Genomic DNA, 12,291 nt, shown 5'->3' with positions numbered 1-12,291 from the left:
AAAGAGATGTAGAGAGAACAAGCAACTTGGAAAACATATTCGAGGATATGGTCCACAAAAACTTCCTCTACCTCATTAAAAAGGTTAACATGCAAATTCAGGAAATTCGGACAACCCCTGTGAGATACTATACAAGATGACCATCTGCAAAACACATAGTCATCAGTTTCTCCAAAGTCATGGCAACCAAAAAAACCTTATAGGCAGCTTAAGAGGAGGGGCAGGTCATGTACAAAAGGAATTCCATCAGGTTAACAGTGGACCCTTCAGCAAAAACCTTATAAGCCAGAAGAGATTGGAGGCCTGTATTCAGCATCCCTATGGAAAATAAATTCCAACCAAGAATTTCAAATCCAGTCAAACTAAGCTTCATAAGTGAAGGAGAAATAAAATCCTTTTCAGACAAGCAAATGCTAAGAGAATTTGTTACCATCAAATCTGCCTTACAATAGGTCCTTAAGGGAGTGCTAAACATAGAAATGAAAGACCTGTTATCTGACCCAATGTTAACGCACTTAAGTACATAGCCCACAGGCACTAAAGCAATTACAAGCAAGTCTACATAACAACCAGCTAACAACAGGACAGAGTCAGATCCTCATATATTAACCTTGAATGTAAATAGGCTAAATGTCCCACTTAAGGACACAAAGTGTCAAGTTGGATAAAGAAGCAAGACCCAACTATATGCTGTCCTCAAGAGACCCATCTCATATGCAATGACAACCACAGGCTCAAAGTAAAGGGATAGAGAAAGATCTATCACGCAAATGAAAACCAAAAAAGAAGAGAAAGTGCTATGCTTTTTTTCAGACAAAACCAACATTAAACCTACAATGATCAAAAAGGACAAAGAAGGGCATTACATAATGATAAAGGGTTAAATTCAACAGGAAGACTTAACTATCCTAAGTATATATGTATGTAACACTGGATCACCCAGATTCATAAAACAAGTTCTTAGAGACCTACAAAGAGACTTAGATAACAGTACAATAATAGTGGGAGACTCCAAATATGTTTTCCAAGTTGCTTGCTCTCTCTACATCTTTCAGAAATGCCACTGACAATGTTAGATCATTGAAGCAGAAAACTAACAAAGATATTTGGAACCTAAGCTCAACACTTGATCAAATGGACCTAATAGACATCTAAAGAATAGCCGACCCAACGAAAACAGAATATACATTCTTCTCATCTCCACATGGCACATGCTATAAGACCTACCACATACTTGGCCATAAAGCAATTATTGACAAATTCAAATAAACCAAAAATTATACCAACCACACTCTCAGACTATAGCACAATAAAAAGATAAATACCAAGAAGATCTCTTAAAACTATACAATCACATGAAAATTAAACAACCTACTCTTGAATGACTGTTGAATAAAGAATGAAAAATTCAGGCAGAAATAAAAAAACTATTTGAAAAACTAATAAAATCAAAGATACAATTTACCAGAATTTCTGGGACACAGCTAAAGCAGTATTTGGGAAGTTTATAGCACTAAATGCCTACATCAAGAAATTAGAAAGATCTCAAATTAACAACCTGACATCACACCTAAAGGAACTAGAAAAACAAGAGTAAACCAACTCCAAAGCTAGAAGAATAAAAGCAATAACAAAAATCAGAGCAGAACTGAATGAAATTGAGATGCAAAAATTCAATGAAACTGGATTAATAAAACCAGGAGTTGTGTTTTTTTTCAAATAATAAATAGATTGATAGACTGCTAGCTAAATTAATCATGATAAAAAAGAGAGACCATCCAAATACATATAATCAGAAATGGCAAAGATGGCATTACTGACCACACAGAAATACAAAAATTCCTCAGAGACATTATGAACATCTCTAGATGTTCACAAACTAGAAATCCTGGAAGAAATGGATAAGTTCCTAGAAACATACAACCTTGTAAGATTGAACCATGGAAAATTGAAATCCTGAACAGGTCAATAACGAGTTCAAAAACTGAATTAGTAATAAAAATCCTACCATCTGGAAAAAGGCCTGGACCCGATGGATTCACAGCCAAATTCTACCAGACATTTAAAGAAGAGCTGGTATCAATCCTGCTGAAATTATTCCAAAAAACTGAGAAGGGACTCCCCCCTAACTCATTCTATAAATCCAGCATCATTCTGATACCAAACATTGCAGAGACACAACAAAAAAGAAAACCTCTGACCAACATGCCTGATGAACATAGATGCAAAAATCCTCAGAATACTAGCAAACTGAATGCAGCAGCACATCGATAAGTTAATTCACGACAATCAAGTAGGCTTAATTCCTGGGAGGCAAGGTTTGATCAACATACACAAATAAATAAATGTGATTCACCACAAAAGCAGAATTAAGACAAAAACTATATGATCATCTGAATAGACACAGAAAAAGCCTTCTGTGAAATCCAACATCTCTTTATGATAAAAACCCTCAACAAACTAGGCATCAAAGGAGCATACTTCAAAATAATAAGAGCCATCAATCACACACTCACAGCCGACATAACACTGAGTGGGCAAAAACTGGAAGCATTCCCCCTGAGAACTGAAACAAGACAAGGATGCCCACTCTCACCACTCCCATTCGACATAATGCTGGAACACCTAGCTAGAGCAATCAGGAAAGAGAAGGAAATAAAATGCATCGAATTGGAAAAAAGGAAGTAAAATTATCTCCGTTCACTGATGACATAATGTTTACACCTAGAAAACCCCATAGTCCCTGCCCAAGGGCTTCTAGAACTAGTAAACAATTTCAGTAGTTTCAGGATACAAAATCAGTGTACAAAAATCCAAGGCATTTCTATACCCCAATGACATCCAAGCTGAGAGCCAAATCAAGAACACAATTCCATTTGCAACAGCCACAAAAAGAATAAAATACCCAGGAATACAGCTAACCAGGAAGTTGAAAGATCTCTACTACAAGAATTACAAAACACTGCTGAAAGATGAGACAACAGTAACAAATAGAAAAACATTCCATGCTCATGGATAGGCAGACTCAATATTGTTAAAATGGCCATACTGCACAAAGCAATTTACAGTTTTAATGCTATTTCTATGAAACGATAAAGATCATTTTTCACAGAATTAGAATAAAACTATTCTAAAATTTGCATGGGAGCAAGAAAAGAGCGTGAATGGCTAAAGTAAGCCTAAGCAAAAAGAACAAAGCTTGAGGCATAACAGTACCCAACTTCAAACTATACTACAGGGCTACAGTAACTAAAAGAGCATGTTACTGGTACAAAAACAGACACATGGACCAATGGAACAGAATGGAAAGCCCAGAAATAAGGCCACATGCCTGTACAGCCTGCAGAACCCTGAGTCAATGAAACCTCTTTTCTTTATAAATTACCCAGTCTCAGGTATTTCTTTATAGCAATGCAATAATGGCCTAATACACTGAGCCACAAAACAAATATCAGTATATTTAAAAGGATTGTAAGGATTGAAGGATTGAAATCATACAATGTATGTTCTTATCACAATGGTATTGTTAGAAATTGACAACAGAAAGAAATTTTGAAAGCCTACAAATCTATCAGAATTTAAATAAAAACATGTCTAAATTATTGGTCAAAGGAGAAATCCCAAGAAAAATTAGAAAATTTTTTGAATTAAATAAAAATGGAAAAATAATATATTAAAATTTACTAGATAAGCTAAAACAGTGTGCAGGGGGATATTTATGGCTTTAAACACCTATATTAGTAAAATAAAGTCACAAATAAAAAACCTGAGTTTCAACCTCAAGGAAGTAGAAAAAGAAAAGCCAACTAAGCCCAACACAAGTTAAAAGAAGGAAATATAATAGATATCAATAAAATAGAAAACAGAAAAACAATGAAAGGAATCAATGAAACCAAGAGTTGGTTCTTGAAAAGATTTTAAAAATTGGCAAACTTTTAGCTAGACTTAGCAAGAAAAAACAGAAAAGATCAGGAAGTTAGGAATAAAAGAGGGGGCATTACTACTATTCTTACAGAAATGAAAAAGATTAGAAGAGAATCTGTGAACAACTTTATATCAATATATTAGAAAACTCAGATGAAATTAACCAATTTGCAGATAAATGCAAATGTCCAAAACTGACTAAAGAAAAAATAGAAACTTTAAAAAGATCTATAAAAAATAAAGGAATTAAATTAAAGTAAAACTATTCCCACAAAGGAAACTTCAGGCCCAGTTGGCTTCACAGTTACATTTTATCGAAATTAGAAAGAATAAATAATACCAATTCTTCATAAACTCTTCAAGAAAATAGAAGGAGAGGGAACACTTCTTAACTCATTCTCTGATATCAAAGCCAGACAAAAAAAATATAAAAAAAGAAACTATAGATCATTATCCTTCATGAATGTAGGCACAAAAATTCTCAACAAAATAGCAAAGTGAATAGAGCTACAGATACAAACAACTATGTACAGTGACAAATGGAATTTATTCCAGGAATGCAATGCTGTTTTCACATCTAAAATCAACTTGTGGCTGAACACAGTGTCTCATGCCTGTAATTCCAGCACTTTGGGAGGCCTAGGCAGGTGAATCATTTGAGGTCAGAAGTTCAAGACCAGCCTGGCCAACATGGCAAAACCCCATCTCTATTAAAAATACCAAAATTAGCTGAGTATGGTGGCACACACCTATAATCCCAGCTACTTGGGTGACTGAGGCATGAGAATTGCTTGAATCCAGGAGGCAAAGGTTGCAGTGAGCCAAGATCATGCCATTGCACTCCAGCCTTGGCAACAGAACAAGAATCCATCTCAAAATAAATAAATAATTAAATAAATAATAAAAATCACCTTGTGTAATATACCATATTAATAGAATAATGGACAAAAGAGACACAATTATCCAAATAGGTACCCAAAAATAATTTCACAAAATAAGCACCCATTCATAATAAAAACTTGCAAGAAACTAGGAATAGAAGGGAACTTCCTCAATCTGATAAAGAGAATTCATGAAAAGCCCACAGTTAACATCATACTTAATGGTGAAAGACTAAATGCTTTCCCCCTAAGATCAGAAACAAGATCAGCATGTCTGATCTCACCAATTCTACTCAAAATTGTATAGTTAAATCAGACAAGAAAAAGCTACAAAAGGCACCTCAATTGGAAAGAAAGAAGTAAAGCTGTCTTTATTCAGAAATGAATGATCCTGTATTTTGAAAATCCTGTGAAATCCTCAAAGAACCTAGCAACCAGGTGGAGGTGATCAATTAGGACAATGTGACAAACAGATAACAATGGTGAGAGAGCAAGCAAGAGGCAAAAAAAGGCACTGGCTCCTAGTGCTCCATTTTTCTCCAAGGCACCTGATAAGAAAGCCTTTGAATTGAGACGACTTGGTCAGGAATTCAGATATACATATAAGCATGGCTGGTCCACCTTAGGGGAATTGAGTCCTTGACTGTGAGATTTAGAAAACTGCAATGCATTGGCTGTGCACCAAGTCTGGAATGGGAAGGGAAGCTTCCCTTCATGATGTCTGCCAGGCAGTCTTGTAATTGCTTATAGTCAGGCTTGAGGGATCATACATAGGATTTTGGCCTGAATTGAGACTCCTCAGAAGCTACTACAACTAATAAATGAGTTCAGAAAGACTACTGGATATAATGTCAATACAGAAAAATCAGTTGTAATTTTATGTAGTAGCAATGAACCCTCCAAAAATGAAATTAAGGAAACAATTCCATCAAAAATAATATTAAAAAGAATAAAATAAAGCTAAATTAAATTCAAAAACTACAAGATGTGTACACTGAAAACTAGAAAACATTGAACAAATTTAAAAAGAACTGAATAAATGATGAGTTATTCTATGTTTATGGATAGGAAAACTCAATATTGTTAATAAGGTAATTCTTCTTTCATTGATCTATAAATTCAGTGCAGTGGCTATCAAAATCTTATCAGGTCTTTTTACAGAAATTGACAAGTTGATTCTAAAATTTATTTGAAGTACAAAGACCCAGAAAAGCCAAAATAATTTGGAAAAAAAACAAAGTTGGAAGATTTTACACTTCCCAATTTCAAAGTTTACTGTATAGTAACCAAAATAGTGTGGTATTGGCATGAGTATAGACCTATAGATCTATAGAACAGATTTGACAGTCTAGAAATAAACTGTTACATTAATGGTAAATTGATTTGTGACAAAGGAGTCAGGCCAAGTTAGTGGAGGAAAGGATAGTCTTTCAACAAATGACTGTGAAATAATTGGATATCTACATGCAAAAAGATGAATTTAGAATCATAAGTTCAATGTACCATACCAAAAAATCAACTCAAACTGGATCATAAACTTAAATGTATGAAATAAAACTATAAAACTTATAATGAAGACATAGTGGAAAATCTTCATGATCTTGGGTTAGGCAAAGAGTTCTTAGATACAGCATCAAAGTATAATTCATAGAAGATAATAATTGATACATTGGATTTAATCATTATCAAAATCTTTTGTGCTTCAAAAGGGAACCACTAAGAAAATGCAAAGACAACACAAACTAGGAAAAAATTTTTGCAAAGCATTAATTTGATAAAGGACATTCATATCTAGAGCACACAAATTGCTCTTACAACAATAATCAGAAGACAAAAAAGAAGCAAAATATTAGAATAGCTATTTCACTAAAAAAGTATACAAATGCCAATAAGCATATGAAAAGATGCTTAACATCTGTAGTCATTATAGAAATGCAAATTAAAACTATAATGAGATACTACTTCACATCCACCAGAATGACTATAATTAAAAAGAGAGATAATAACAAGTGTTGGTGAGGATGTGGAGAAATTGGAACTTTCTACATTGCTGGTGGAAATTTATAATGGCACAGCCACTTTGGAAAACAGTTGGATGGTTTCTTGAAAATTTAAACATAAATTTTTCATATGATCCACAATTCTATTGTTAGGTATCTACCCAAGAGAAATTTTTGAAAACGTATATCCACATAAAGACTTTTACATGAATATTCATAGCAGCATTATTTATAATAGCCCATTTGGAAAGAATCCAAATGTTCAACTGGTGAATGCATAAGCAAAAGTGGTACACAAGTAGTTATTTAGCAATAAAGAGGAGCCAAATATTGATACATGCAGTGACATAGATAAATTTCAAAAATACTATGCTCTGAGGAAGAAGTCAGACATGAAAAAGCACATATTGTATGATTCTATTTGTATGAAATACCTAGAAAAGGCAATGACAGAAAGTAGATTATTGATTACCTGGTGCTGGGAGTGAGAATGGGTATTGACTACATACTGGTATGAGGGATCTTTTGGGGATGATCAGAATGTTTTAAAGCTGGATTTTCGTGATGATTATACAATTTAGTAAGTTGCCTAAATTTACTAAAAATCATTGAATTATACACTTAGAAGAGTAAAGAAAAAATAGATATTGGCTAGGTAAGATATCATTGATGATAGTGCCTGATAACTTCATTAACAGAAAGGAATTATCTGACTTGCTCTCTCTTTATGTATACATATACATATTTTTTGCATCTTTTCTGAAAAATTGCATATCAGCAACAAAGGAACCAGGTCAGAACATTTTATCACACAAAAACCTGGCTGAAATTTGGATTTGGGGTATGTTTTAATTTTTTGGTTCTCTAAGAGTTAACATTTCAAATAATATAGCTAGATCTTGAAAATTTTTACTTTTCAATACCTAGTTTTACTTTTTTGTGAATTTTAAGTATAAATTTCATTTTAATTTCAAAAGAGAAAGGAAACGGGCAACATACCCAGAATTAGCAGTGAACTGGAAAACTGTCTATAAAGATATGAATTCTGACATCAAGTTATGGACACTATTGTCCTTCTCCCTCTTCCCATCAAAACCCCCCAGAAATACTGTCACCTGTGGTGGTTGTCAGATTTCCCCTAAGTCAACTTTCATTCTCAACCCCATCTTGGCTTTTCTGTCACCTATGATCCCTCGACTCTCGGGAATAAAAGTAACCAGGCTGAATAAAAGCAACAGGGTGATTGTGTGATGGGGACCAGTGGTTCCCAGACACTGGGTTAAGAGGCCACAAAATTGATTTCACTTGAGAGCAAATTCAGATCTGAACCCAGTTTTTCAGAGGTGAAAGAGATCTATTGATTTTTGTCACAGTCAGTTTAAAACTGAAATGATCGCCATTTTAACGTGTCAGACTGAACAGATCTATTGGAAATGAGTATCATTGCCACTGGAAGCTGTTTTTCTTTTGACTGAATTCTATATTGTACATCTTAGATGGAAAATAAAGTAATAAGACAGTGAAAAGCAGCTGGTAAATTCTATGGCAGGTGTTATTTACCCCTACAGGTAAATGATGCAGGCCAGGAAGGAAAAAAAGTTCGTTTGCTGAAGTGCCTACAAAACCTGAGTCTTCCCTGATTGGAGACAATTCACCTAAGTCATGATCAGATCAGTCTATGGGGCTGAAATAATTTTTGTAAAAGTGTCAGCTGATCCAGTTGTTGAGGGTTTGCAGAAAGAGTTTTCTCAAGGCATGTGGAAGAGACATCTCTGAGAGTTGTGGGTTTTTGAGAGGTTCTTGGCAGAATTTGGCTTGGAGCTTAATAGTGAACATTAAACAAACATGACAGTGAATACACATACATATTAGACTACTTCTGGAAAGTATAAGTAATATTATAGTGTTTTAAAATGAACCTAAATTTCATTCATAGATATTGCATTTTTATGTTAGCCCTTCCTCTTGGGAAGTGCCAGAGTGAAAAAGACTTGATATCTCTTCAGTCAATTGGTTTTCAAACTGATTATTCTTAGTCTAGCCACTTGAGAAAATTTTGGGGGGTTGTTTCCTAGAGATTTAAGTGTTCTTAAAGCCAATCTTTATCCAGGGAAAATATTTATCTTCCTGGTTTTTGAAAGTGAACAAATTGAGTTCATTACTTTTCTTAAGAGTTTGAGTTCTATTTTCTATAGTTTTCCAATTATAAGTCACTGTGATAACTTTTCAACACATTTTATCCAAGAGATGAAACTATTTTGCCAAATACAAACTGTGACATTTTGGTGCAGTGACTCCCTTTCTACTCATGCTCTTCTTTGATATGTCACTTAATATTTACAACAAAAACATAAGGTGTATATTATTAGTCCCATGTTGTTGATGAAGAAATGGGAATTTAAATAGGTTAAGTAACTTGTTTGAGGTGACATAGCTTCTAAGTAGATTCCCGGACCAAGTCTTTTGGAGTAATAAAGCTCTGTTCTTTCTCAAAACTGTGCTTCTCCTAGGTATCCCTGCAAGGTAGTTTAAGTACCCATTATGGTGTAGTTCTGGCATTTGAAGGATGTGTCTACCTAGCAGGGTAAAAATGCTTATAGATCATCATTGCTTCATGTTCCAGGGGCTTCATCATAGCAGTATATACATCACTAGGATAGGGTTAAGTGCTCTCATGGAGAAAGTCTACTGTTGATTTTTTTTTCAACCAAAAGTTATAGTTTAAGCTGTCTTATAAACAGATCTGTCACTAAAACTATATAAACTAAGACAGAGTTTAACAGCTAAATTTATCCATAAGCTACAAAAACAGTCCCATGATAAAGCAAATTGTCATGCATTAAACATGTCAGTTCATCTAAAGTTTTTATCAATGATCTGAAAGGCATTTCTTGATCATTTAAATGGCGTAACATATTTTATTTCCTTATGTACCACTTGCAGTTTATGGTTAGATTCTTATTACACCAAGTGTAGACAAAACCTCTTGAAGTAATTTTTCTACCTGCCCAAAGTGAAGAGGAAAAAGTGCAAGTCAGATTTAACAGAAAATGGCTAGGTGAGGAATAGGTCATGCAAACCAAACATTAAAACCAGGTGGATTAGAAGGCTGAATGCCATGGCACTGATGAAAGATTCCAGGGGAGGTCATGTGGTTCTTCCTTAGATAAAGATCAAGGTGGAGTCTATGAGGCTCTGAATTTCAAAATCTTGGTAATGCCATATGAGGTCTACAAGACTAAGCCAGTGTTCCTTAGTTTGGTGATGCATCAATAGCACTTGTAAAATTTTTAACACATCCTGAATCTCACTGTAGATTACTAATCTGGGGTTTTGGAATCTGTATGCTTAAAAAATCCCTCCCCCCAAAAAACTATGCAGAAAAAGGAGAAAGGAAAAGAGAAGAAAAAAGGAAAAGGAAGAAAAGTAAAGGGGAATGAAGCACAAGTAATAAATCAAATAGGATAAAATGCCAACAGTAGGTAAACCTAGGTAAAGGGTAGCAGTGCTGGGCTATAGCTGGCATGAATTGGATCATTATTTTCTGCATCTCTTCCCAACTCCTTGTCAGTGACTTCACATTGGCAGCTTAAAATTGGCCATGCTGAGCATAAATGCACCATAGAAGTCAGCAAATGCAACAAATTAGGGCTTACCCTCCCCAAGAGCCTACTCACCAGCTAACCATTGAGTATTTGGGTGCTCTTTATAAAAATTACACCCTCCACCCCAACCCCTCCCACACAAAAAACCCAAACACTCTTCTAGTGATGCAATTGCAACCGTCTTGGCATTTGGGAAGTGCTGTGCTTGACGGCAAGTTTCCTGAGGGCAGGGACCATGTCTACCTATATCTCTGCTACCTCCCCAGCATGTAGCCTGGTGCCAGACATATGCTGGACAATAAATATTTATTGAATAAATAAATGAAGTTTTCATTTTAAAACACTTTATGTTACCCATGTGTTAGCTTAATTTGGGATGAGTGGAGGGAATGGAATAAGATGATAATATATAATTAACATTCTGTATGAAACTCTCTTTAGCTCCTGTGGGGAGAAGGTATTTAACAAACGGAAAGTATAAGGTCCAAAATTAATCTCATCTTAACCTCAGGAAATGCATAAGGGAAGAAAATTCACATTACTGATTACACACTGGTACCTGACAGATAGAAATGAGATAATAAGTAGATATTGACTTCTGTTGAGGTGAACATCAAGATCTATTGACCTGAGAGGTAAATATTGACCGAGGTGAAGTCAAGGTCAATATTTGCCTCAAAGAATAGGAAATCTTAATGCTCACCAATATATAAAGGTTATATGTGAATTTTTACATACATTTTCCTGGCATAACATTATGAAAGTGCTATATTTTCTCAAGCAATGCACAAAAGTCTCTTTTAAAAGTTTAAGTTCCATACAAATGGCAGTTTTAAGGAATAAGAATTTCTACTGTCTTTTCTATTGTTGATTTTTGCTGAGCCATTAGTTAAGAGAATTTGATATGGTCTGATTGTGGTACAGCAAAGGTTAACAAGAGTTTAATAGAACTCAAGCCATCCCTTAGGAGGGCACAAAGAACATCTTCCCAAGTCATCATGGCTACCAGTGACATTTTCTCTTGACTGTCTTTGTCAATCATGACAATCTTTCTTTCTGTAACAACACATCTTAATCATAGAGTCCTAAGATTTTAAGTCTGCAAGGGTATTCATCTAATCATTAGATTCTAATTTATTTCCTGACTTTAAGCTGCACTCTATCAAAAGATGATCCTGGGCCAGTAAGCCCTGATCAACATGAATCTCTAAATTATTTTATTCTGTAGGATCCTATGGTGGAGAAGAAGGGGTGAATCTTTCAGGGAGTGGAACATTTTAATTGCTCTTCATTGCTCTGTTTTGTAGAGAAGTCCCCATCACTATTGCTGGAAACTTCAAACCATCTAGAACCTAATCTCCAAAACCTGCTAGTTTCCGTAGTAACAGAATGTTTAGGCCAAGCCAGGAGGAAACTCCTTTTCCACAAAGCTCAATTACCCAGTCACCTCCCAAGTTACCATTCACTAGTGCTGCCTCTGCTGGTATAGGTCTTGCTTAACTTGGAGTAATTTGAATGGAAGCATTCTCACCTGGCTTCCTTTAGGACCTGCTCCTGTTTCATAAGGTCCTGTTTCTTTGTCTAACTTTCAGACCACGAAACAAAATTAAAGGCCCCTCAAAGTAATGCAGATGTCAGTGGATGCAATAACACAGTTGGTGTCCTGGTTGCCTTTCAGTTCTGATAAGCTACTTGAAGGTAAAGACAATGCTCTATACCTCTTCATTTACCTTTTGGCACCCAAGAAGGGGAGTGGATCTTGAACAGGTAAGTGCTGAATGATCAAGTGTGTGAATGAATGCAAAAGCCCTCCTCATTGTTTTCTTATTCTTTCCTTCTACCTCAAGGCATTTGCAGAAATGTCAGGAGGATAGGATGAAC

General features: G+C 35.1%; 2 annotated features.

The window, feature by feature from the left end:
- Positions 1-528: an enhancer, noted in NCBI's record as "OCT4-NANOG hESC enhancer chr4:85258319-85258846 (GRCh37/hg19 assembly coordinates)". NCBI's record gives its function as "activates a minimal SCP1, AML or CMV promoter by ChIP-STARR-seq in naive H9 embryonic stem cells {active_cell/tissue: H9 hESC(naive)}" and the evidence as "EXISTENCE:reporter gene assay evidence [ECO:0000049][PMID:30033119]".
- Positions 529-1,058: an enhancer, noted in NCBI's record as "OCT4-NANOG hESC enhancer chr4:85257789-85258318 (GRCh37/hg19 assembly coordinates)". NCBI's record gives its function as "activates a minimal SCP1, AML or CMV promoter by ChIP-STARR-seq in naive H9 embryonic stem cells {active_cell/tissue: H9 hESC(naive)}" and the evidence as "EXISTENCE:reporter gene assay evidence [ECO:0000049][PMID:30033119]".

This window comes from Homo sapiens, chromosome 4, assembly GCF_000001405.40.
Source record: "Homo sapiens chromosome 4, GRCh38.p14 Primary Assembly".
Taxonomy (NCBI): domain Eukaryota; kingdom Metazoa; phylum Chordata; class Mammalia; order Primates; family Hominidae; genus Homo; species Homo sapiens.
This window is presented reverse-complemented; position numbering and strand designations above follow the sequence as displayed.